Raw genomic sequence first — 24,773 nt, 5'->3', positions numbered from 1 at the left:
TATAGGTTTATGGGTTGTTTTTTTTTCCATATTGGGCAAATTTTCAACCATATTTATTTGTATACCCTTTTAGCTCCAACTTATTTTTCCTCTCCTTTTGGGACTCTGATGACATACATGTTAGACTTTTTTTGTTGTCCCACAAATTCCTGAGACTTAATTTTTTTCCAGTCTATTTTCTGTCTTTTGTTCAGATTGGGTGGTTCCTATTGGTTTGTCTTCAAGTTCACTGATTCTTTGCTATCGACATCTTACAACAGAACCCATCCAGTAAGTTTTTTCTTTTTTTTTTTTCAGTGCTAACGTTTCAATTTAATTGTTTATATCTTCTATTTCTTTTCTGAAACTTAAAAAAATTTGTTTCAAGCATGTTTACAATTACTTATTGAAGCATTTTTATACTGGCTGCTTTAAAGTTCTTGTCAGAAAATTTTGACATCTGTGTCATTTTGGTGTTAGCATCTGTTGGTTGTCTTTTCTTGCTCAAGTTGAGATTTCCCTAGTTCTTGGTATGATGACTGATTTTCAACCTTAGACATTTTGGATGCTATGTAATGAGGCTGGATCTCATTTGGATCTTCTGTTTTAGTTAGCCTTCTTTGACATCAAAACAATGCTGTCTGGTGGAGGTAGAAGTGCAGGTTACTCTATTGACATCCCAGGGTAGAGGTGAGGGAGAACAAGGGAGAGAGTGCCTAGTTACTGCTGGGTCAGGATGAGAGTTCAGGCTGCCCACTAAGTCTCCCCTGATACCACCTTGGCTGGGAGGGAGAAGGATGCCTTGTTACTACTCCCCATCTGGCCTCCACTGACATGATAGAGGACATTACTGCTGGGCAGTGGTGAAAGTCTTGACTCTCTACTAGACCCACTCTGACACCCAAGAAGGTGGGAGTGGAAATTTAGATTCCCCATTTTGCCTTTGCTGGCAGGGTGTAGGTAATACTACAATTTTTTCTATGGTTTAGCTGGAGTGGTTATTGTCTACAAACTTTCTTTCTTGCAAGACTGTCCCTTTCTGGTCGTTTGGCTAGTAAAAGCAGGTTTTCCTTTTTTTTTTTTCTTTTTTTTCCTTTACCTGTACTCATTAGTTTATAGGTTTCTGCCTTCTCCATACTCAGTCTGAGATCCATTAGGCATAGGCAAAAAGAAAACCCTAGGCTAGTGCCATGTCATTCCATAGGTCCTGAGGTCCCTAACCATTCTATCTTCTTCTCTCCACCTTTCAGAGTCTCCTTATATTTGTGTTTTATATAATGTCCAGGGTGTTTTGCCTGTATTTAGCAGAGGGAATAAGGAGAAGTGTTTTTACTCTATATTGTCTCAGAACCAGACATCCCCAAGGGCATTTAAAACATTTATTCTGTATCATCTGGCAAATAGCAGCCAGTGGGGACAATGTTCCCCTAAATTGATGGTGCGGCCCCTCATCTTCCACCCTTACCAGCCCAGTGTTCTGCTGTGTGAATTTTTTTTTTTTTTTGAGACAGAGTCTTGCTCTGTTAGCGCAATGGCATGATCTCAGCTCACTGAAACCTCAACCTTCCGGGTTCAAGCGATTCTCCTGCCTCAGCTACCCAAGTAGCTGGGATTACAGGAATGCACCACCATGCCTGGCTAATTTTTGTATTTTTTGTAGAGACAGGGTTTCACCATGTGTGCCAGGCTGGTCTTGAACTCCTGACCTCAAATGATCCACCCGCCTCAGCCTCCCAAAGTGCTGGGATTACAGGCATGAGCCGCTGTGCCCAGCCTGTCTTATTTCACTTAGCATAATATCATCAAAGTTATTTGATGTTGCAGCATATGTCAGAATGTCTTTCATTTTTAAAGCTAAGTAATAATCTTTTGTACATATATACCACATTTCATTTACCCATTCATCTGTTGATAGATGTTGGCTTGGTTATACCTTTTGTCTATTGTGAATAATGCTGCTACAAACATGGATATACAAACATGTCTTCAAGACCCTGCTTTCAATTCTTTGGGGTATATACTCCCAAGTGGAATTGCTGGGTCATATGGTAATTCTGTTTGTAATTTTTTGAGGAATTGCCATACTGTTTACTATAGCAGCTATGCCATTTTATATTCCCATCAAAAGTGATCAAAGGTTCCGATTTGTCCACATCTTCAATGTTTGTTATATATATATATATATATATATATATATATTTTTTTTTTTTTTTTTTTTTTTTTTTGATAGTAGCCATCCTAATGGGTATGAAGTGGTATCTGTCTCATGGTGGTTCTGATTTGCTTTCCCTAATTAGTGATATTGAGCATATTTTTATGTGCTTATTGGCCATTTGTATTTTTTTTCTTTTTGTTTGTTTCTTTTTTTTCTTAGATGGGGTCTCGCTCTGTTGCCCAAGCTAGAGTGCAGTGGTGCAATCTTGGCTTGCGGCAACCTTCGTCTCCTAGGCGATCTTCCCACCTCAGCCTCCCGAGTGGCTGGGACTACAGGTGCATGCCACTACGCCTGGCTAATTTTTGTATTTTTTTTTAGAGACAGGGTTTTGCCATGTAGTCCAGGCTGGTCTCCAACTCCTGGGCTCAAGCAATCCACCCGCCTCAGCCTCCCAAAGTGCTGAGATTACAAATGTGAGCCACCACACCTGTCCCTCATTTGTATATCTTCTTTGGAGAAACTTCTGCCCAAGTCTTTTGCCCATTTTTGAGTTAGGTTGCTTGTTTCTTTTGTTGTTGATTTCTAAGAGTTTTTTTTTTTATACATTCCAGATATTAACCCCTTATCAGATATATGACTCAATATTGTCTTTTTACAATTGCTCTGTTTGAGCCAGAATCCAACAAAGTTATACTATATCAGTATATTTGATCGTTATGACCCAAGTCTTATCTAATCTAAAGGAAATCCCTCTCCCCAATTCTCTCCCTGGTCATTGACTTGTGGCGGAATCCATCTCCATCGTCACACAGAATCGTAGTTTTGAATTTCAACTATGCTGCTGCCCTCCAAAGTTTCCTGCTTTGCCTTTGATAATTTCAGCGTAAATTTTCCTTATTGAAAAAGGAAAGTTTCTCTTTTAAATGCTCGTAGAGGACTAAAACTGAAAATGAGAAGAGGAAGCTTTATCTACATTTGGGAACACAGCTAATGGGAAGGAAGGCACTGGAGACAGGCAGGTGTGAGGAGTGTGAGGGTCAGATAGGGGTGGGGAGAGCACATTTGGGTCAACAGCCTGGCCTAAGAGAAGAGAGGCTTTTCCCAAGAGGGGACCAGCCCAGGACTGTCTTCCCAGCCATGGGCAGCACATGGCAGATCCTGGGGGCACCGCCAGGGCCACACTGTGGCTCTGCTCCCCAGGGGATGCTGGAGAGAAAGACTCGGCCTCAGGGGTTCTCTGAGTACACAGGGCCTTCCCAGGAGTCCCTGAGGGCACAGGGGCAAGGCTGGGGAGGCTACAGCATCCAGGTGGCTCAGGAGCCAGGACGTGGCAGCAGATAGACCATTGAGAAAAAAGCTACTGTCACTGACAATGTCTGAGCACTCTAAAATGTCACTAGAGTTCTCTCTGGAATTATGATGTGTGAGTTTTTTTCTTTATCTTTTCCAAATTTTCTTCAACAGTGAAAAAGCAATATTTTCTTTAAAAATAGATCAGTACCTTTAGGATTAACATAGATGTGCCCAAAGAAGATTATTAGGAGTAACAATGCAGTGCTCAGGGGCTGGAGTTGGGGGGTCCTCCAGACTCTCTTTGGAGCATAGATCAGCCCCTACTCCAAGACTGGACCAGGACCCAGGAGCATGGCACAACCAAGAAAAGATTGGACATGGCCAGAGAAGGGCAGTCTCCTGAGTGTCTGTAGCTGAGGTCAGTATTCCTGGTTCTGCCTGCAGCCCTGCTTAGGACTGAACCTGTGAGGAGGGGGCCCAGCTTTCAGGAAGCCCGTGCCAAATCCAGGCTGGAACCCACCCAGTGGACCAGCTTCTCTTACCCACATTACTGCTTCCAAACCTCTTCCACTCAACACACACACAAGTTTCCAAGGTAGAATATTATTTATTATTATAAACTCAGGATGCAAGATATATTCCAGGATATAGGAAGAATGGCAAATATCGGCTTTTCTCAGATATCTTTGAAATTATTTTAATGCGTACAAAACATGTAGAAGATGCCTCTTGAGATGGCTTTAAAATGCCCAGTATTAAAGGGGGACAGGTGCATGGCAGCTAAATGCCTCAACAAGATCATGCAGAGAGGGGCATCCATTCCCTCCCAAGATCCTAAGAAAAGGTACCTTGCTCCAGCCTGGCTGAAAGTGGAGCAAAGATATGCATTTTCTATTGGATTTAGGGTCCTAGGGTCTGTCCTGGGGCACAGACACCTAAGACCATGGCACCTTCTCCCCAGAGGACAGCCTGAGGGTAAAGTATAAATTGCTCTGGGAAGGAGAGAGGGAGAGAACAGCTGTGTCTGCAGTTCATTGTTGTGTGAGTTTAAGCAGCTCTCTTCCTCTCTCTGTGCTTCATTAGAGGTATAAATACTGGTACATTGGGTCCTTTCCAGAGTTTGGTTTCAATGAGTAGGGACACAAGAGAAAAGGAATAGATGAGTGCCCAATTTTTGTTCAGGGACATGGTTAGGCTCCCTCAGTGATGGGACTTTCCCACCTAGCTGTTCCTGGGAGCTGTACCTAGAAAAACGTGTGTATGCTGGTGCCTGTGTGTGTGAGAGTACATGTCTGTACATATATGTGTGTGTCTGTATGTGAGTCTGTATGTGCCCATGTGCCCACAAGCTTTGGGGCAGGAGGCTTTTATATGGTCGCTGTTTGTAAACAAATAACTTTGTAAGGCAATCAAGGTACAAAGTTGGTGGGAAAGCTCTCTGCAGGTGGCCCAGGGAGGAAGGCTCCCTGCTCACATCATTACAGTGACTCATCCCCAGAACTCATACTTGATGAATATGCCAGAGGCCAGGATCCCTTCTCATGCCAGGTGGAGCTGAGAGCATGACCACAGGCATCCTGACAGGTGGAAATGAAAAGCAGCCCAAGCTGCTCAGGCGAGTCTCTTGGGGACTTGTCACTGCTGAAGGTTGGGCAGAAGCTGGGAGGTGTGAAAGATGCAGATGAGAGGTGGACCCATTAGGAAATAAGGCTCAAGGTGGGGTCTCCTTGGGCTGGGCCAAACTGCTTCCCCACCTGCCCTGTGGGGAAGGAGGAAGTGGAATGGGCGGTGTGCAGAGGCACTGAAGCATCAGTAGGCATCACTGTGGAAGAAGCTGCCCCAGCAGTGTCGTGGTCACAGCAGTGGCCAGCATGTAGTCCAGCAACAGCCAGCTCTCCCGCAGCCAAGCCTGGTCTCCCCCAGGAGACCCAGAGCTATGCTTCACCATTTCCTACAGGGATTCAAACACAGCTACTCTCTGTTCTCCCCATCCCACTCCTCAAGTGAGGAAACTGAGGGTGAAGATGTGTGAATGGCTCAGAGCTGAGCTGGCTCTGCTGGTCCTTCTTAGTCTCAGCTGGTCCTGTTCTATAGTGTCCTGGCTGATAATCCAGCAAGTGGACATGCCACTCACAGCCACTGGTTCCATGCAGGACATGAAATGTGATGTCCAGCTGCTGCAGACGTGTCTGTGAAGTTGGCATCTCCAGGAATTGAGAGGTAAGTAGAGCACAGATTCCTCCTACAACGAAAGGAGGAGGCAGGGCAGAAGTACATGGACAGGCAGACAGATACACACACACCCAGGGCCTCAGAACAGTCTTCAGGGCAGGGACAAGGCCTTGGCAAGGCGAGTCCAGAACCAAGATTTGGTGCAGGGGTTGGTGTAGTCGCAGACAGTGATGAACCTCAGGATGCTGGGGAACTCTTTCTTCATTGCCTTGTACTTGATGGGGATCAGTCGCTTCTGATGGGCACCTGCAAGCCAAGGGGTGCCATGCTGGCATCAGGCCCTTGCCCCATGGTGGGACAAGCCCAGTCTTCAACCCCAGGGTTAACAACAGCCATCCCCCATCTAAGTACCCCTGGCACACATTCACTCACACAAAAAGGCACACACATGCACACATGCTCAGGTGTGCAGAGATCTTCAGCAGTTCTTTGGTACTGCATCCACAGTCCTTGGGGAGGGAAGGCTGACAATCCAGAGGCCCCACCTACACATTCCCTCATTCTCTTGCCAGAGCAGGGTTGAGCTTACCTGGAGAGAGGCTGAGTGCAAATTTGGTCTGGAAGTCACATTCCTTGCTCTGCAGGTAATCATCAGAGACAACCACCACCATCCGGCGGCACCTAGGGGAGAGTGGGCAGGCTGCAGGTCCTGTGGCAACTTAGTTCAGCATATCCCCTGGGAATAGCTTCAGGAAGGGCCCACTGTGCCCAGGCTGGACAGTGCACAGCTAGGAGGAGATGCCCAGTATCTGGACCCCAGGGCAGGGCTTCATGCATCCACGCACCCACCCCGTGGCCTTCTAGCCAACCTCTTTTCGATGAGCTCACTAGCAATAGACCAGACACAGGTGCCAGGCAGGACATCGCGGTCAGACACACACAACTTCAGTCGATAGTTTGTCTGTTCCAGTTGCCGGATCATCTCCTGCACAAACTGGATGTCGCTGGGGCAATAGCAGATGAAGGCATCGAAACGCTCAGGCATATGCCCTGGGTGCAGAGCACAAGGGTGGTGGTCAGAGCTCCATGGGAAGGCTTGGGAGGGATCCAGCCAAGAGTCCCCTGCCTAGGCAACCCTGGGCCCTGCACCCTTCCCAAGATGATACTCCTCAGAGAAAGTGCCCTTTCCAGGAGAGGAAAGATGAGTACCTCAGGGGCTAAGCTCTGGATTAACCACGAGACAGACATTATTTCATGAGCATCTCACAGCAATCCAGAGGTAGGACTATTATCTCCATTTCTTAGGTGAGGAAACTGAGGCTCAGAAAGATTAAGTGACTTGCCCAAGGTCTCACAGCCCATCTGCTTCAAACACCCATGCTCTTAACACCACAATGTCCTATTCCACCTGTCCCATGGGAACAGTATTGGACCCTTACCCAGGGGGTCATCAAGTGTGGTGATGCCCGCCAGCTCTGCTGTCCGTGGGACACTGCTGTCTACAGCGGCCACCTGTAAAGGCTTCTCAGCCTCCTCCTGCTGCTGCTTCAAGATATACTTTTGGCAATCCTCCTCTGTGGGGAAGAGACAGAGTAAAGCAGCCTCCCTGGGAGTGCCTACCTCTTTACCCACAGTCAGGATCCAGCCGCTGTCCCACCTCCTCTGGCTGGGTTGTTCTAGAGGGCTTCCCCAGTTCACTGGTGCCACGCGAAGCTCAACGGCTCTGAGAAGTTGAGCTCCCACTGGCTCTAACTGACCCAAAGGGATGTCAGTGGTGTTCTGGCTTTCTGGAAGGCCATCAAAGTCAGGTTTGTATCTCTGTCCCTTCCTAGGGATCCTAAGAATGGTACCAAGGTAGGTCTGCTTCTTCTGGGATCCAGGGCAGATGTGAGCAAGGGGCTGGGCATGCCAGAAAGGCTCAGGAGACCCACTGGTTATGGTGCAGTGATTCCAACTCAGCAAGGTGTGCCTGTCTGTGGGCGGCTGTATCCAACGCCTATGCATGTATATTATGTAAGTGCCAGTGAGTAGAAAGAAGGGCTGCATTTCCCCAGGACTTGAGGTTTCTAAGACAGTCCACTGTCAATCGCCCCACCTGTCCTGTTGCTCTACTTGAAACAGCCCAGATGCCCCCACAGAAGCCTGATTCTGACTCCTGGCCCTACCTGAAAGCCTCTGCCTAAGCTGCTTCCTTCCCATCTCCGCCTATCCGGACCTTTCTCCAGTCCTTCTTAATAACCGCGACCGGTTATTAAGAAGGAACGGGACCCGCATGGTTCTCCCTCTGCAGGCTTCTTCGGGCCCCCGAGGCAGGAAATGGGGTCTCTCCATGGGAGACAGGATGCTGAGGCCGCGGAAAGTCAGCCTCCTCACCCCCCAGGTACGAGGCCAGGAAGGGGACGTCCTCACCAATGCTGGGTCCCAGCTCCAGCAGCACGTCGTCGCGGCCCAGCTTGGTAAGCAGCTCGAGCAGTCGGCCTACAGAGGCGCCAGGGCGTCCCTGCCAGGCGTCCAGCAGCCTGCCAGTGGGGTCCGCTTGTGTCTCCAGTTGCCGGATCTCCAAGTACTCAAAGTCCATCTCCTCCGCCAGCGCGGTCCAGTCGGCCGCCACCTGTGTCCGCACGTTCAAGAACAGAGACAGGCGGCGCCGCACTCGCATGTTGAGAGCAGCCAGGGGAAGGGAGGATGTGGAGGAGACCGGGGCCGCAGACCCCGCGCCGGGACCTCCTGCAGCCATGGCGGGCGGTCCTGGAGCCTCAGCGCGGTCGGGTCGCATTGTCTGCCAGCGCTTCCTCTTTCTCCTGCGGCACCCGCCCCGCCCCGCCGGCTTTCGCTTTCCGAGAAGCGCCGCCCTGCCCTACAATCTGGAGCCCCGAGCAAAAGTGCGGAGGCGGGGGTGCCCACCTCTACCCTTGAGGTCTCGAGGCGGGTGATGTGGGGGGCGTAAGAAGTAGGAATCTGCCTTTTGAGATCTGGAGAGGTCCACGGCACCGCCCTCGAGGGTCTGGTGATGGTGCTAGTAGGTTGGCGGCGGAGTGAGGACGACCCTCCTTCGGGGGTTGTAGGAAACGGGCCTTGCTTTTTGGGATCTGGTGGAGCCACAGTTCTTCCACGGAGGAATCTGAGGGGTTCATACGGTCCTGCCCTCGAGGATGGCGAGGAGGGGACAAGTGGGAAGGCACCAGCTCTGCCCTCCACTGTCTCTGGGGAACACGCAATCCTGCCAGTAGGGGTATGGGAAGACCCCTGCTGTGCTCCCCGAGGTGGGAGTGGGAAACGGACAGCTGCCTTCTGGAGCCTGAGGCATGCCGTGGCCCTGCCCTCGAAATGGTTGGGGACGTCATGACACTAGGTTGGGGAGCACAAGGCACCCTGTCCTTTGGTGTCTGTGGAAAGCCCAGCACTACTCTCCAGGGTCTCAGGTGAAGACATGGCCCTGCTATTGGGAGTCAAGGGGGCACGTGGCCTTGCCCTTTAGGTTTAGGGACACAGTCCTGACCTGGGGAGCCCTGGTTCATTCATTTACTCATTCGACAAGTACTTATTGATCATCTACTAAGTGTCAAGGGTGTCGCAGGCTCCCCGGATACATGGTACCTCTCTGCCTTGGTGGAGACCCCAGCCTAGCACGGGAAATGGGCACTAATAAAATCATTCCAATTGGGTGTAAAACTGGTAAAAGTGTGAAATGTTCATTCTCCAGTTAGAGAGCTTGTCACACCCCGCATGTCTGTAAAATCTGTTCTCCCGGCCAGCCCGGAAGCCCAAATTCCCTGTCTTCTCGAAAGAATGGGAAAGCCCAACCACGTCGGAGCAGGACTCGGGCGTCTCGGAAGTATTTAGGTCCCCCAGCTCGGGTACTGGGACCGGAGGGATAGCAGAGCCTCCTAGGAAGTGGGTAGAGGAATTAGAGCCTCGGCTTCCATCTCCAGCCCCCAAGCAGTAAGCGGTCCTGGCTGCCCAGCCTTCCGTTTGGCTGCGGGCAGGAGACAGGGATTTGGGGGTCAGGTCTCGGGTTTGGCTACAAAAGGTGGAAAGACTTCCGGTCTGCATTTCTGGGCGGGGATTCGTAAAGATACACCTTCTGGTTGGCTGCGGTAGGCCAAGGTAGGCGGGGCATTGAGTGGAAAGCTCGGCTGGGCGGTGCCTGTGGGCCCTCCTATAGAGGGCTTGGTAGGCGGTGGCGGGGAGGGGCGGGTTCCCAGGCCGACTCTCCTTGTGGTTGGCTGAGGCTGGAGGTGGACGGGACTTTTGGAGGGTCGCTCGCGTCTGTTCGCAGAGCTGTGGGCGGAGTTGAGGCCTTGGAGGCTGAGATGTGGTTCTGCGCGTGTGCGGACGGCTGTCTGTTAACTCCGCGGTCAGTTCCCGGACTGGTGGCTGGTCTGCAGGGTTGACCTGCGCAATGCAGAGGCTGCAGGTAGTGCTGGGCCACCTGAGGGGTCCGGCCGATTCCGGCTGGATGCCGCAGGCCGCGCCTTGCCTGAGCGGTGCCCCGCAGGCCTCGGCCGCGGACGTGGTGGTGGTGCACGGGCGGCGCACGGCCATCTGCCGGGCGGGCCGCGGCGGCTTCAAGGTGAGGCCCGAGGGTCTGGGCGCCGAGTGTGGGAAGACGCCGGCGCGGGCTGGGGTCCGGTTCGTATGTTTGGTTATCCTGGACGCCGGAGGCAGCTCCGCACCCAGCTGTGGTCGCTTTGTCTCCCTGGGGTGGGCATGGGGGAGTGGGGGTCACTGCGGCTGCTCTTTCTGCTGCAGGACACCACCCCCGACGAGCTTCTCTCGGCAGTCATGACCGCGGTTCTCAAGGACGTGAATCTGAGGCCGGAACAGCTGGGGGACATCTGTGTCGGTGAGCGAACCACTCAGGCCCTGCGCTGGGCCTTCCCCGTTCTTCCGTTCGTCCAGAGCTCTCCTCACCTCCCCGCCCCGAATTTTCACTGGGGGAACCTCCATGGCCTTGACCTTTGAAGGGGTCCTGCCCCTTCACACCTGTGGGTATTTCTCGTCAGATGGGAGGAGAGACTGAGAAAAGAAATAAGACGCAGAGACAAAGTGTAGAGTGGGCCCAGGTGACCGGCATCGGTCTCCGAGTTCCCTCAGTATTTATTGATTACTATTTTCACTATCTCGGCAAGGGGAGTGCGGCAGTGTGGGGGAAAGGAAGAGAGATCAGACTGTTACTGTGTCTGTGTAGAAAAGGAAGACAGAAGAAACTCCATTTTGATCTGTACTAAGAAAAATTTTTCTGCCTTGAGATGCTGTTAATCTGTAGCCTTAGCCCCAACCCTGTGCTCACAGAAACATGTGCTGTATTGAATCAAGGTTTGAGGGATTTAGGGCTGTGCAGGATGTGGCTTGTTAACCATTTGTTTGCAGGCAGTATGCTTGGTAAAAGTCATCGCCATTCTCCATTCTCGATTAACCAGGTACACAGTGCACTGCGAAAGGCCGCAGGGACCTCTGCCCAAGAAAGCCTGGGTATTGTCCAGGTTTCCCCCCACTGAGATTGTCTGAGATATGGCCTAGTGGGAAGGGAAAGACCTTACAGTCCCCCAGCCCGACACCCGTAAAGGGTCTGTGCTGAGGAGTATTAGTAAAAGAGGAAGGCCTCTTTGCAGACACCCGTAAAGGGTCGGTGCTGAGGAGTATTAGTAAAAGAGGAAGGCCTCTTTGCAGTTGAGATAAGAGGAAAGCATCTGTCTCCTGCTTGTCCCTGGGAATGGAATGTCTTGGGTGTAAAACCCAACCATACATTCTATTTACTGAGATAGGAGAAAACCGCCTTATGGCTGCAGGTGAGACATGCTGGCGGCAATACTGCTCTTTACTGCACTGAGATGTTTGTGTAAAGTCAAACATAAATCTGGCCTATGTGCACATCCAGGCACAGCACCTTTCCTTAAACTTACTTATGACACTGAGTCCTTTGCTCACATTTTTTCCTGTTGACCCCCTCCCCACCATTACCTTATAGTAATGGTATATAATGCCACATCCCTCTTGCCAAGATAGTAGAGATAGTGATCAATAAATACTGAGGGAACTCAGAGACCAGTGCTGGTGTAGGTCCTCAATTGCTGAGCACCAGTCCCCTGGGCCCACTTTTCTTCCTCTATACTTTGTCTCTGTGTCATTTCTTTTCTCAGTTTCTCGTCTCCACCTTGCGAGAAATACCCACAGGTGTGGAGGGGCAGGCCCTCTTCAGGCAAAACGGGGTGAACAGGGTGATGGTGGGGAGAAGGTCAGCAGGAAAACATGTGAGTAAAGGAATCTGCATCATAAATAAGTTCAAGGGAAGGTACTGTGCTGAGATGTGCATGTAGGCTAGATTTTTGTTTCTCTTTACCCAGACATCTCAGTGTAGCAAAGAGTAACAGAGCAGTATTGCTGCCAGCATATTTCGCTTCCAGCCACAGGGCGGTTTTCTCCTATCTCAGTAAATAGAACCAATAGTCGGCTTTACACCGAGACATTCCGTTCCCAGGGATGTGCGGGAAATAGAGGCCTTCCTCTTTTACTAATCCTCCTCAGCACAGACCCTTTACAGGTGTCGGGCTGGGGGACAGTAAGGTCTTTCCCTTCCCACGAGGCCATATCTCAGGCTGTCTCAGTGGGGGGAAACCTTGGACAAATACCCAGGCTTTCTTGGGCAGAGGTCCCTGCGGCTTTCCACAGTGCATCATGTCCCTGGTTAATAGAGAATGGAGAATGACGATGACTTTTACCAAGCATACTGTCTGCAAACATATGTTGACAAGGCACATCCTGCACAGCCCTAAATCCCTTAAACCTTGATTCAATATAGCACATGTTTTTGTGAGCACAGAGTTGGGGCTAAAGTTACAGATTAACAGCATCTCAAAGCAGAAACAATTTTTCTTTGTACAGATCAACATGGAGTTTCTTATGTCTTCCTTTTCTACATACACACGGTAACAATCTGATCTTTCTTTTCCCCACAATCTTCAGTCCAGCCCTCTATTCCACCCCTCACCTTGAAATACAGCAATATGATATGGCAAGAGTCTTATCCAGCGGATGCCACCCCTAGGTCGGCAATCACTGTTCCACCTCTCTGGGGTGACAGCAGGGCTCACAGGAGGATACCTGGGGAGATGTGCATTTTCAGAAACTCCCATTTCACTTTTAAGGGCAGACAACCTGCCCATCTGTGCTGATTTGGAAAAGCTGGGTGCATGGGCAAGTGAGCGTGGGACCCTCAGGGACAGGAGCTGGTGGATGACCAGGACAAGCTGTTGTATGGCTGGCTCTCCCTGCCCCAAACCCTGATGTTCCAGAGTTGCAAGTGAGCCTGCCAAGGGCTAGTGTCCCGAAGAAAGATCTGGAATGCCTCATCTCTGGTTTTCACAGCTATACTTTAGTGCCCAGAACACCACCGCCTGGCACTGAATGAAAGTTTGTTGTCCACAGGAAATGTGCTGCAGCCTGGGGCCGGGGCAATCATGGCCCGAATCGCCCAGTTTCTGAGGTAAACTTTTCTAGTTCTAGCCATGGGTTGGCCATTTTGACACTTTACTGGGCCCAGGCCCCAGGAAACTCAGTGTGCAGGTTGGGGAGGATAAGGTTGGACACCAGAATGAGGCAACGAGAGTCCTTGGCTCCCTGCTCTTGTGGACTCAACCTCTCCCCTACTTTGAAGTGCTGAGCCACGATACACAAAACCTTTGGGACTGGAGCAGAAGTTCTCTGTAGCTTGATTTTTAGCCAAAGCCAGGTTGTCATTTGCCTTTTGTGAGTGTGGACTCTGTCCTCATTTGTCAGGTGAGTAATCAAGTAAGAATGCTGAAAAGTGACTTTCAGCCTTTTTACTAGTTGAGCTGAGAACTCCAGTCATATCCCACTAGCAGAGACTTTGGGATAGGGCAGAACCATGGGGAAGGAGGACCCTCAGGAGGAGACCTGGTCAACTTTCCTTTAAGCGCCTGCAGGGTAAAGAGTGCTTAAATTATTTTCATGTGTAGATTTAAGAACTGCTTGGCTTTGTACTTCTAGATGCATAAATAAATAAATAGGAACATTAGCTAGTGAAGGAACAGGAAAACAACCCTCTAGGAACTGGGAGAGGTTTAGACTGCCCAGCCTGTAGTTCAAGGCCCCCTACAATCTGGCTCCAGACTTACCTTCCAGCCTCATCTCCTAGCTGCTTACTCACCTTGACTTTTCTTCGTTCAGCCGGCTGTGGGCCTACTGTCTTCCCTGATATGGTCATTCTGTCTCCTTGAAGTGCTAGCCCTACCTCCTCTTTCTGCCCTAGACAGAAAGACAAACCCTGCCTAAACACAGTCTCACCATTTTGGCATGAGTTATCCAGGCTCTCAGGCTGAAATTGAGAGCCCCTTCCTCTCCAGCAGTAGCCATATACTTCCTTGTGATGTGGTTTGCCCTCTTGCCCTATTATTTCAGTCTCTGATAGTTGATTCATTTTCTGTGTGTTGGTTGGGCATCCTCTAGGGCACAGTGTTATAAGCATCGCAGCATCCCTCAGGTGATGCCTTGTGGTAAGTAGGTATTTAGTGAACACTTGGTGGATTGAGTGAAGGAATGGTAACTACCTGCTAGGGAGTTAAGGGACCCTGGAAGGGTCAAACAGGCTGCACAGGAGGCTATCCCCCTGAGAGAGTCTCTGCAGAGCCTGGCCTGGGCACTAGTTCAGAGGTTCCCAACTCTGGCTACACACCAGAATCACCAGGATGCTTCCACTCCCTCAGATTCTGAGTCTGTGGGTCTGAGGAGGTCTGGAAATTTCCCTAGGGCTTTGTACTGTTGGCCAAGGCAGGTTACATCAGGAGGGGAAGCCCTACTAGCTTCCAGGGCTAAGACCAGTATGAGAGTCTTGGGGAACCTACCAGAGCAATGGATGTTAGAATATATGATGCCCATCAGAGTGCTTCGTCTAGGTGGGATCAGGCTTTCAAGAGTCCATGGGAACATGCAGGGTTAGCTATATGATTACTGGTAAGGCCGAGTGGTCCCTGGCCTCAGACTTTAGGCATTTCTTTTGCTCTGGTGCTCTGTCCCAGCAGCAGTTCCTTTTCTCTGTTTTTTGGGGGAAACAGAGATACACAGTTTTCATTTCTGAATCTTCAAAGGGAGAGAGAGAGAAGGATCCCTGTGGCCCAAACAGGCTTCCCTTGCCTTTGGGCTGTGCTTGGTCTTTGATTGAAGATTCTCATAGGAGTAGAAGGGAATGTGCTTGTGGGGCCCTGGGGAGCAAGTGCCTGCAGAGATGGGGTCTGCCCAGTAGCTGCTCACCCCCATTCCATGGATCTGGCCTGGCATGGGAGCAGAGCTGCTGGGTTTGTTCCCCTGCCCTTTACATCCCTTGAGGGGGGCAGTTAGAAGCATAGGACTGCTTTCCATGAGAGCCTGGCATGGAATTGGGGGCTGATTCTACTTTCTCACCTTCTGTTTCAGTGACATCCCGGAGACTGTGCCTTTGTCCACTGTCAATAGACAGTGTTCGTCGGGGCTACAGGCAGTGGCCAGCATAGCAGGTAAGTTATGACTGGGTGGGTGCCTTGGTCCTGGACCTGTGGGTTTGGGTCAGCAAAGTCGCTGTCTGCCGGGCAAGCAATAATTACCATTTCTGAGGACTCTAACCACAGAAAGAGTGCAGGAGCGCCCCCTACCACTGCCCAAAGCCTTTTCTGAACACTCCTGGGTCTTCCATTTCTGAGGCTGGGGCTGAGTCCCATCTAGAGACCAGGTGGGGAAGAGGCTCCACTGCTTCCAGAACAGGTGGACTCTGGCAAAGGATGTTTATGAAATGCTTTTGTTACAGGTGGCATCAGAAATGGGTCTTATGACATTGGCATGGCCTGTGGGTAAGAATTTTTTTCTGCCGGAGCTTATTAACCAACTTGTGACAATAAAACTAATTTTCATCTGAGTTCTCAGAGGCCATGATTTCAGGATTCCCCCCATCCCCTTTAGGCAGCTGGCCACGAGTGGGTTCTCACAAATGCAGGTTAAGAGTGGCTACCAACTCTGGCTGCTCAGGAATCACTCACACCTCTCAGCACTAGCAGGGGAGGGGAATTGGCCTCTAAAAGCTTACTTTCTTGGAAATCTTTCAGGCTGGAAAAGGTGGGAAAACATTTTGAGAAAATCCAGCATTTGGGTTTCCTTTGGGGGCCCTTGTTGATTCATGATGCTGCTGAGAGAGAAGTTGCAGTTTGGGTTCCCTAAAGCCAGGGACAGCGCCTACTGTATAACTAGTTTGTTCATTTTACTAGGCTGTCTGTCCCTTTGTCTCCCCACCTTGGAACCAGTGTGGAAACTTCCAGCTGCTTATGGGCTATGAGGGACATAATTAGATCTGTGGTGGTTTGGTCACTGTCACCTTCACCTAGACTGTGGCTCCATCATTGGCTGCAGCAAATGGAGCTGCAGAAGTTGTATTTGGCAGTGCCTCCAGGGAAGGTCAGGGCACAGGTGCCCAGGCTTGGGTGGGCATCTGGTGCTGGGAGGGCAGGGGAGTAAGGTCTTTGGCAGGCTGGGGGAGGTGAGCAGCCCCAGGGTTCTGACATGCCTCCGCTGCCTTTCACATCCTCTTTAGGGTATTTCTTGAGAGGACGCATTGCTGGCCCCTGTCCCAGGGCTGTGGCAGCTGTCACTGAGTTGTAATGACCTATGTCTACAGTTGTAAATAAAGCCAAAGACCACTCTGCAAGGACTTTGGCTGGGCAAAGGCCACTGCCGTTTGATTTCTCTCATGCTCTTCTATCTTACTGGGTGAGAGGTGGCATGGATAACTTGAGAAGGGCTGGAGCTTTTATGAGTTTCTTAGAGAGTATCTGATTCCCAAGCAGGTTAAGGATGATGGTACTAGGATATTAAGATCTGGGCCAGGCCTGACACCCACATCACAGGCTGACTGTTCTCCATAGACTTTGATCAGCAAGTATTTAACACAGGGCACTCTAGTTGGAAGTGGGCTCTGGGACCAGACTACCTAAATGTGGATCCAGGCTGGGTCACCATGGATAAGTTATACAGTCTCTCTAGACCTCAGTCTCCTGATCTATAAAATGGGGATACCTAGCTCAGCTCTGTTGAAGTTGAGAAGAATAAATGGAGTAATAGCAACAGTTTACACTGTGGAGTATTTGTCTGTCATGTGACTGACACTGAAGCACTCTAATATCTCAAAAGAATTCAGAATAGTGCTGGGCACGTGAAAAGCACTCAGTCAAGGTTATCTGTTATCATCCCTTGAGGTGTTAGGGTCCCCCATGGCCTCAAAGCCCTTTTTTGACCACACTACACTGCCGTCTCCTTCCTCTCAGCTCGTAGCACTTCCTTGTCTATGCAGGTCTGAATGCCCTTTGAGCTCAGCTTTGTGGTTACTTTTATTTTTATTTTATTTATTTATGTTTTTGAGACAGAGTCTCGCTCTGTCGCCCAGGCTGGAGTGCAGTGACACGATCTCATCTCACTGCAAGTTCCGCCTCCTGGGTTTACGCCATTCTCCTGCCTCAGCCTCCCACCCTGGCGCCTGCCACCATGCCCGGCTAATGTTTTGTATTTTTAGTAGAGGCGGGGTTTCACCATGTTAGCCTCATGATCTGCCCGCCTTGGCCTCCCAAAGTGCTGGGATTACAGGCGTGAGCCACCACAGCCGGCCTGTGGTTACTTTCAAATTGTCTCTTCTCCCTTCTGAATTTGTGGGCCCTGAGGGCAGGCCCTGGCTTGTGGATGTGTTTCCTCCTCTGTGGCTGACAGCAGAAGGCTTTTCTCTGGAATTGCCAGTTGGCTGATTTAGCAGTGTATAGGGAAGCATAGCCCTGCCCCCAGGAGTGTTTATTGTGCAGTGCTCTGTCCTGGGGTGGGGGTCGAAATAGAGACAGGGCTCAGTACTCGTGGCTGGGCCTTGCTGGCCAAGTGCCCTGCCTGTGACTCCCAGAGGCCCACTGGTCTTCCTAGGGCTCCCTGGCTATTTCCTAGCACTTGCCAAGTGTTCAGCTATCTCTGGAGGAGTCCTGCTAGGGCCCAGTTCACCTTACCTTCTCCTCCTCTTCCTCCTCCCCAGGGTGGAGTCCATGTCCCTGGCTGACAGAGGGAACCCTGGAAATATTACTTCGCGCTTGATGGAGAAGGAGAAGGCCAGAGATTGCCTGATTCCTATGGGGTGAGTGCTCCCATAGCTCTGTGTGCTTGTGCCCTCTCTGCCTGGGGCAGGGAGCCAAGGAACTTTTATCATCTCTGTGGCTGGTGGTGCCAAGCCTTGGCCTCCTTCCTTTGGGCATGGTCTGCTCCGCAGGGACTTTGGGGATGAGACTTGATGTTGCCCTTGACTTCCATTTCCTGAAGGCCCCAGGTCCTCTCTGTGCCCCCGAGTTTCCAAACATCGCCCACCTTGTCACTCCCACACTGAGGTGCTCAGTCATAGGAAGGACAATGGTAGCTCCACTCCAAAGCCTTGGGGGCCTAGAAAGTTGAGAAGGCAGTGGGAAGCTTGTGACGACAGAACATGCTGGTGAGGGGAATTGGGCCCTGTCAGGTGCAACAAGAAAAGTATGTGGCATTTGGCCGGGTGCGATGGCTCATGCCTGTAATCCCAGCACTTTGGGAGGCCGAGATGGGTGGATCACAAGGTCAGGAGATCGAGACCATCCTGGCTAACACAGTGAAACCCTGTCTCTACTGAAAATACAAAAAATTAGCCGGGCGCGGTGGTGAGCGCCTGTAGTCCCAGCTACTTGGGAGGCTGAGGCAGGAAAATGGCATGAACCCAGGAGGCAGAGGTTGCAGTGAGCTGAGATCGTGCCACTGCACTCCAGCCTGGGTGACAGAGGGAGACTCTGTCTCAAAAAAGAAAAAAAGAAAAGTATGTGGCATTTGTATGGAACACTTTAGCTTCTCTGAGCCTCTGGGCCATCCCCAGGGTCTTTGGGCCAGGAGTCCTGGATCCACTAGACATATGAGGAGACTGAGGCTTGGAGAGGGGCAGTGCCATGGCTTCTTTCACATACTGTATCTCCAAGGGAAGCCTATAAAGCCAGAAGCCCAGGCTGGAAGGCCTAGCTGTGGCTCTAGGTTCTCAGGATAAGCATAGACCCCAGCCAAGGTGACCAGGAAGCTTAGGTTTGGCCTTTCCAGAGGAGATTTGGGAGTCCTCATCTCCCTACATTGCAGCAGTCTTCCTTGAGGCATAGGAGAAGCTGGCCAGGAGTAGCCAACTAGTGCCCCCACCCAGGCCCTCCCCTGCTCCTTTTCTACCCTGCGCTGAGGCAGCTCACCCAGGGAACAAACTCCTTTCTGCAACTGCCCCCATGCAGGCTGCCCTCTCTTGAAGAAAGTCTCTTTGGTGTATGAGCTTCTCAGGATCTGGCCAGCATTGCTGACTTCCCTATCTGTGCCTTTATATCCACTTTCAGGGCAGGCTGTACCATATCCTGAGTCATCACTACTGTCTGTGGCATGGACTGGCCCTTACATCCTGTCCTGCCTACAGCCTTGGGAACCCAAAGTTCCAAGCACAGCTCTACAGCCTGGTCCCTTCCTCTAGGCTGTCAGACCAATGCCCACACTATCTGCTGTTTGTGTTCTAGGATAACCTCTGAGAATGTGGCTGAGCGGTTTGGCATTTCACGGGAGAAGCAGGATACCTTTGCCCTGGCTTCCCAGCAGAAGTGAGTGCTGATTGGGGAGGAATGTTTAAAGGGCTGGAGAGTGAGGTTTTGAGTCTATCTAAGTGGTCTGAAGTGGCACCATTTCGTGGTTACTGCTGGGCAGTGAGTGCTTTCCAGGCCTTGTGCCACCCAGGTTGGGGGTGGGAAGTAGGAAGTGTCAGGGCCACTGTGAGTTGGTAGTACTTCCAGGTTCTATTACTGTCTGTTCACCCTGACTTTGCCCTAGCTAGGCCTCAGTTTCCCCCTCTGTTATTTTCTGGCTGCGGTTTGGGGACTGGACATTGTAGCCTGGAGTGTGGGGCCAGCAATGTTAGGGACTCTGGCATCCTAGCTTCTGGACCATGCTGGGTCTGTGGCAGCATCCTGAGGCAAGAACTGAGGACGATATCAGAGAAACCCCAGGGGCTCAGGCAGGCTAAGATTGGCAAGTCCCGGCTGTCCAGAGAGGAAAGCAAAAGCAGGGAGTGGTATCTGGGCCAGGTGGGCTTCCCTGAGGCAGTGATTCTTAGCCACTTTGGGTCACATAACCATTTGAAAATGTGTTAGAAGCCTTAGATTCCTTCCACTTGAATGTCCCTGGGCACTTACATGCTGCACATATTTGCAAGGGTCACCCTTAAATACCTTGTGCTTTAAAATTGCTTAAATACAAAAATACATGAGTAGTTTAGTATATGTCACTTTAAATAGGCGGAAACTGGGGAATAGATGACATCGAACTGTTGAGTTTGAGCAGAAAAGTTAGCAGAACCCAGCACAGATATTTCTGGGGTTCCATCCTCAGTTTAGCAGAGAGAATCAAGCAGGCTTAATCCCTCTTGGACAAAGGGCTCTAAGTGGAGGCACCACTTCCAAACACCCTTTCCCCCCTTTGAGGTTGGGATTGGCCACGATCTGGAGGTCTGGGGCTGATGGTGAAGAAGGCCCTGTAAGGCCTTAGCCATGCCCTCAGAGCTCCCCCAAAGTCGAGCATGTCCCTGAATTTAGCAGCCTGAGCTTGTGTCTACCCAAATGGATAGGGGTTGGGGGCAGGGAGGAAGGGAACCCCAAGGGAGTCTGAAGCTGGCTGTCCATGGTGCTGGCAGGGCAGCAAGAGCCCAGAGCAAGGGCTGTTTCCAAGCTGAGATTGTGCCTGTGACCACCACGGTCCATGATGACAAGGGCACCAAGAGGAGCATCACTGTGACCCAGGATGAGGGTATCCGCCCCAGCACCACCATGGAGGGCCTGGCCAAACTGAAGCCTGCCTTCAAGAAAGATGGTTCTACCACAGCTGGTGAGACTGGTCCGGGGTAGGGGTATGAGAAAGCAGGCCATGGCCATGCTGGGTGCTGTACTCTGGGAACCTGGAATAGACCAGGCCCCTCTGCAAAGTAGAAGTGGGAGGGCTGGGATCTCCTCATCCCCACCCCGATGCCTTCTTACCCCAACAGTTTGCCCCTAGGAAACTCTAGCCAGGTGAGTGATGGGGCAGCTGCCATCCTGCTGGCCCGGAGGTCCAAGGCAGAAGAGTTGGGCCTTCCCATCCTTGGGGTCCTGAGGTCTTATGCAGTGGTTGGGGTCCCACCTGACATCATGGGCATTGGACCTGCCTATGCCATCCCAGTAGCTTTGCAAAAAGCAGGTAAGGTGGCTCCTTCATATAGTATCTGGGTCCCACCTGGATCCTGCAGCTGCCCTGCATGCTGTTGCCAGGGGCATGAGGGTGGTCCTGTGGGTGCTGCAGAGTGGAGGTGGGGCAGGCTAGTGTCCCATACTTCAAGCCCTTCCTGACCCCACAGCTGGGATTGGCTCACCCTTCTGGAAGAGACACACACCAGGCAGCCTGTAGGCCCATGGATGGGGTGGGCCCCAGGGGAGGCAGAGGGCCAGTGTGTCAGCTCAGGTCTTTACCTTGTCTGCAGGGCTGACAGTGAGTGACGTGGACATCTTCGAGATCAATGAGGCCTTTGCAAGCCAGGTGAGCCCTTGTTTCTCAATGTTGCCTTTGCCCTGGACAGCCGAGGTGGAGTGAGCGGGCAGGTGGTGCAGGGGAGGGGTAAGAGGGCTATAGGTGATGATCTGCCTCCTTCCAGGCTGCCTACTGTGTGGAGAAGCTACGACTCCCCCCTGAGAAGGTGAACCCCCTGGGGGGTGCAGTGGCCTTAGGGCACCCACTGGGCTGCACTGGGGCACGACAGGTCATCACGCTGCTCAATGAGCTGAAGCGCCGTGGGAAGAGGTAAGGCTTTGCTCCTGGCGGTGGGGTCATAGGGGGATATCCAAGTTAGGGCACCTGAAGGGCAGGGGATAGAGGTAGGTGGGCTTTGGATCATAATCTCGACAGACACAGTCCTGAGCACCATAATCCCAAATGTTGAAATCCCAAAAGATCAAAGTCCCTAAGGTCTTGGCTGGTCCAGAGGTAGTGAGTTATCTTGATTGTTCAGTTACAGATCAAACTCCATGTTCTACTCTTTACCCCCTTCTTACTTCTACACTTGACTAGTCAAGGAGAAAAATCCTTACTGTCTAAAATCCCAAAAATCACAATCTCAAAAGATTAAAATCCTGAATGTTGAAATCCTAATGTTGAATTCATGTTATGAATTCTAGGGAAGGGATTAGTGCATTTTCCGCTGTATGCAGGATAGTGCATCATATTAGTTATACCATGTAACTAATATGATGCAACCATTACCTTGTTATTGTCTTTATTTGAATTAAGTATGGTTTAAGGAGATGTGAATGGGTGCTAAGTTGACAAGGAATGGACTTAATTTTGGGAATACCTAGAAACCTGACAAAGCATTGCTTTGGGTGTGTCTGTGACGGTGTTTGCAGAGGAGGTTAGTGTGTGCATCTGAGTGGACCAGGTGGGGAAGATCCGCCCTCAGTGTTGGCAGGCATCAGCTAATTGCCTGGGGCCCTGGAGAGAACAAATACAGAAGGTGAACTGTCTCTCTCAGAGCCGGGACACACTTTTTTTCTGCCTTGGACATCAGAAATTTGATTCCATGAAAGTGCATTATCACATTGACTTTGTAAGCCTTGTGCATGTACATAAAAATGTTGAAACTTCCTCAGTAAAAGAGGTGTGCTATTTGTGCACCTGCGTTTGTGAAAGATAAAATTTCTCAAGATCTTGGTTCTTTGGTTGACTACTTGTGCAGTGGTGACCCATCACAGGTTGGTTTGTTGAGACAGGGTCTTACTCAGGCGCCCAGGCTGGAGTGGAGTGGCTCCATCTTGGCTCACTGCAACCTCTGCTTCCCTGACTCAAGCAATCCTCCCACCTCAGCCTCCTGAGTAGCTGAGACTACACGTGGGTGCCACCACACCCAGCTAATTTTTCGTATTTTTTGTAGAGACAGGGTTTTGCTATGTTGCCCAGGCTGGTCTGGAACTCCTGGGTTCAAGTGATCTTCCCACCTTAGCTTCCAAAGTGCTGGGATTACAGGTGTGAGCCACAGTGCCTGGCTCTATCAGTTTTTGATCAATCTCATCAAAAGACGTAGGTTGTCCATCATGGTATTCATATGACTGCAGTTATAAAGCTGGGTGCACATGATTACCAGCAATTTATACAGTTTGCTTTTAACCTATTTATGAATACAGTTTGTCTGTTTATAATTGTTATAATCCTGTGACTATTGTTAGCATACCTGAGTGTTTATGCTTGCAGAAATTTGTAATTATTTTCTATTTTATTGTGTAAAGTAGCCTGTGAAGTGTTCTGTTGTTTTTGTTTCTCAAATAAATCCCCTTTTAAAAATGTACATTTTTTTTTTTTTTTGACATGGAATCTCACTCCGTTGTCCAGGCTGGCTGGAGTGCAGTGGTGTGATCTCGGCTCACTGCAACCTCTGCCTTTTGGGTTCAAGCAATTTTCCTGCCTCAGCCTCAGCCTCCCGAGTATCTGGGATTATAGGTGTCTGCCACCACACCCAGCTAATTTTTGTATTTTTGGTGGAGACAGGGTTTCACCATGTTGGCGAGGCTGGTCTTGAACTCCTGACCTCGTGATCCTCCCGCCTCGGCCTCCCAAAGTGTTGGGATTACAGGTTTGAGCCACCACACCTGGCCTAAAAATGTAAATATCTTTTAAATCAATCTTTTAAAAAAGTTTTTTTCTAAGATGGGGTCTTGCTATATTGCCTAGGCTGGTCTTGAACTCCTAGGCACAAGTGATCCTCTTGCCTCAGCCTGCTGAATAGCTGGGACTACAAGTAGATGCCACCAGGCCAGGCTTCCAAATTATTTTTTCCAGAATTATATTTTCAGGATTTTGATCTTTTAGGATTGTGATTTTCAGGATTTTAGACTTTAGGGATTTTGTTCTTCCAGGATTTCAACATTTGGGATGATTGTGTTTGGGATTGTGTCTTTTGGGATTATGATCGATCCCTGGGGAGGGGAACATGCACACAGAAACACCCTGAACTTAGGATGTAGGGGCATGATCCCTGTTTTCCTTAAGGGCCAGCCTTGAAAGGGATACTAGCCTGCAGTGGGCATCTGTCACCGTGTGTGTGCCCAAGTGGGAGGCCAGGGTACCGCTTGCCCACAGATCTGGTCTGATGGTTTTGCATCCTACTTGTCCATGACGTCCTTCTGGGTCAGCCTGGTCTGGAGGTAATTTGGTGGGTGCCTTTGCCCAGCCAATTAAGTTTTGTTTTCACAGGGCATACGGAGTGGTGTCCATGTGCATCGGGACTGGAATGGGAGCCGCTGCCGTCTTTGAATACCCTGGGAACTGAGTGAGGTCCCAGGCTGGAGGCGCTACGCAGACAGTCCTGCTGCTCTAGCAGCAAGGCAGTAACACCACAAAAGCAAAACCACATGGGAAAACTCAGCACTGGTGGTGGTGGCAGTGGACAGATCAAGGCACTTCAACTCATTTGGAAAATGTGAACACTGATGACATGGTATAGGAGTGGGTGGGGTGTTGAGCCACCCATCAGACCCTCTTTAGCTGTGCAAGATAAAAGCAGCCTGGGTCACCCAGGCCACAAGGCCATGGTTAATTCTTAAGGCAAGGCAAATCCATGGATGAGAAGTGCAATGGGCATAGTAAAAGTGCATGAATTTATCTTAGTGGCTGTGGTTTTTTTCCAAGACTAATTTTGCCATACTGGTCTTCGCTATGCACTGAGTAGTGATCTCAATGTGGTGGTCTCTGCTGTGGTGTGGCCTGTCCTTTATGTTAGCTCTGAGGACATATCATGAGGGCCTAGGCTGAGACCATTGTGGAAGGGGGTTCTTCCATTCCAGGAGCTGCCCAGAGGTCCCCAGGTCCCCAAGTCTGTGTCTTTGTGCTGAAGAGCTGCTCCTAATCCCTGGGCAATGTTTTTTCTCCAGCTGGGGCCTGGGGCTGAGGGCTGGGGCGGAGCCTCAGGGCTGGTGAGGCAACATGTATCTCTCATCATAGGAGCCTTGGCCCCGGAGCCGCAGGGTGCAGGACTTCTCACCGAGCACACCTTCCACCACCATCGTGGACTCGTACAGCTCACTACTCCTGTGGGGAGCATGTGGGGGCTGAG

At 50.6% G+C, this 24,773-nt stretch overlaps 3 protein-coding genes and 1 long non-coding RNA gene across 21 annotated transcripts in view, besides 4 other annotated features; 2 read left to right on the top strand and 2 right to left on the bottom strand.

The window, feature by feature from the left end:
• Window positions 3,107–3,166: an enhancer, noted in NCBI's record as "active region_19681". NCBI's record gives its function as "activates an Ori minimal core promoter by ATAC-STARR-seq in GM12878 lymphoblastoid cells {active_cell/tissue: GM12878}" and the evidence as "EXISTENCE:reporter gene assay evidence [ECO:0000049][PMID:35858748]".
• Window positions 4,015–8,376, bottom strand: MYD88 (MYD88 innate immune signal transduction adaptor). 8 transcript variants are annotated; one of them, NM_001172567.2, is made up of 5 exons: window positions 8,009–8,376; window positions 7,039–7,173; window positions 6,445–6,649; window positions 6,189–6,280; window positions 4,015–5,905 (listed from the first exon to the last, which is right to left on the bottom strand). In NM_001172567.2, the coding sequence occupies exons 1-5, from the start codon at window positions 8,334–8,336 to the stop codon at window positions 5,751–5,753; spliced, it is 915 nt and encodes a 304-aa protein (NP_001166038.2). In that variant the 5' UTR covers window positions 8,337–8,376; the 3' UTR covers window positions 4,015–5,750. The 8 variants fall into 8 exon arrangements, with proteins under 8 accessions (NP_001166038.2, NP_002459.3, NP_001361716.1 ...); NM_002468.5 differs by having other exon boundaries at window positions 6,469–6,649; NM_001374787.1 differs by having other exon boundaries at window positions 6,189–6,237; window positions 6,469–6,649.
• Window positions 7,653–7,782: an enhancer, noted in NCBI's record as "active region_19680". NCBI's record gives its function as "activates an Ori minimal core promoter by ATAC-STARR-seq in GM12878 lymphoblastoid cells {active_cell/tissue: GM12878}" and the evidence as "EXISTENCE:reporter gene assay evidence [ECO:0000049][PMID:35858748]".
• Window positions 7,852–8,795: an enhancer, noted in NCBI's record as "H3K27ac-H3K4me1 hESC enhancer chr3:38179733-38180676 (GRCh37/hg19 assembly coordinates)". NCBI's record gives its function as "activates a minimal SCP1, AML or CMV promoter by ChIP-STARR-seq in naive H9 embryonic stem cells {active_cell/tissue: H9 hESC(naive)}" and the evidence as "EXISTENCE:reporter gene assay evidence [ECO:0000049][PMID:30033119]".
• Window positions 8,283–8,692: an enhancer, noted in NCBI's record as "active region_19679". NCBI's record gives its function as "activates an Ori minimal core promoter by ATAC-STARR-seq in GM12878 lymphoblastoid cells {active_cell/tissue: GM12878}" and the evidence as "EXISTENCE:reporter gene assay evidence [ECO:0000049][PMID:35858748]".
• On the top strand, window positions 9,910–24,322 carry ACAA1 (acetyl-CoA acyltransferase 1). 6 transcript variants are annotated; one of them, NM_001607.4, is made up of 12 exons: window positions 9,910–10,172; window positions 10,352–10,445; window positions 13,028–13,085; window positions 15,032–15,111; window positions 15,399–15,441; window positions 17,649–17,747; window positions 19,171–19,251; window positions 20,337–20,527; window positions 20,696–20,875; window positions 21,156–21,211; window positions 21,327–21,472; window positions 23,915–24,322. In NM_001607.4, the coding sequence occupies exons 1-12, from the start codon at window positions 10,002–10,004 to the stop codon at window positions 23,988–23,990; spliced, it is 1,275 nt and encodes a 424-aa protein (NP_001598.1). In that variant the 5' UTR covers window positions 9,910–10,001; the 3' UTR covers window positions 23,991–24,322. The 6 variants fall into 6 exon arrangements, 5 of the variants coding, with proteins under 5 accessions (NP_001598.1, XP_006713185.1, NP_001123882.1 ...); XM_006713122.1 differs by lacking the exon at window positions 20,696–20,875; NR_024024.2 differs by lacking the exon at window positions 15,399–15,441 and having other exon boundaries at window positions 20,337–20,875.
• DLEC1 (DLEC1 cilia and flagella associated protein) overlaps window positions 23,012–24,773 on the bottom strand; it is an 84,818-nt gene continuing 83,056 nt past the window's right edge. For 3 of the 6 annotated variants that reach the window (NM_001321153.2, NM_007335.4, NM_007337.4), the window contains one exon: window positions 23,012–24,748. In NM_001321153.2, coding sequence (NP_001308082.1) covers window positions 24,625–24,748 — 124 coding nt within the window. In that variant the 3' untranslated portion in view covers window positions 23,012–24,624. The remainder of the gene's footprint in view (window positions 24,749–24,773) is intronic. The other 3 variants (XM_011534317.3, XM_006713438.4, XM_011534318.3) reach the window with 1 other exon arrangement.
• The window catches only part of LOC105377033 (uncharacterized), an 18,861-nt gene continuing 18,774 nt past the window's right edge, over window positions 24,687–24,773 (top strand). Inside the window, exon 1 of the long non-coding RNA XR_940727.3 lies at window positions 24,687–24,773. This is a non-coding gene — a long non-coding RNA (uncharacterized LOC105377033).

Source organism: Homo sapiens, chromosome 3, assembly GCF_000001405.40.
Source record: "Homo sapiens chromosome 3, GRCh38.p14 Primary Assembly".
Lineage (NCBI taxonomy): Eukaryota > Metazoa > Chordata > Mammalia > Primates > Hominidae > Homo > Homo sapiens.
This window is presented reverse-complemented; position numbering and strand designations above follow the sequence as displayed.

What these genes read in the sequence shown, in the direction of transcription:
- MYD88 (NM_001172567.2), bottom strand. Translation starts at nt 8,336, where the DNA reads ATGGCTGCAGGAGGTCCCGGCGCGGGGTCTGCGGCCCCGGTCTCCTCC. An exon ending in GGAGCTGGGACCCAGCATTG is followed by an intron (nt 7,174 to 8,008) that starts GTGAGGACGTCC and finishes TCTTCCCCACAG; the next exon opens with AGGAGGATTGCCAAAAGTAT. An exon ending in GCTAGAAGGCCACGGGGTGG is followed by an intron (nt 6,281 to 6,444) that starts GTGCGTGGATGC and finishes ACTCTCCCCTAG; the next exon opens with GTGCCGCCGGATGGTGGTGG.
- ACAA1 (NM_001607.4), top strand. Translation starts at nt 10,002, where the DNA reads ATGCAGAGGCTGCAGGTAGTGCTGGGCCACCTGAGGGGTCCGGCCGAT. An exon ending in GCTGGGGGACATCTGTGTCG is followed by an intron (nt 10,446 to 13,027) that starts GTGAGCGAACCA and finishes TGTTGTCCACAG; the next exon opens with GAAATGTGCTGCAGCCTGGG. An exon ending in CGAATCGCCCAGTTTCTGAG is followed by an intron (nt 13,086 to 15,031) that starts GTAAACTTTTCT and finishes CTTCTGTTTCAG; the next exon opens with TGACATCCCGGAGACTGTGC.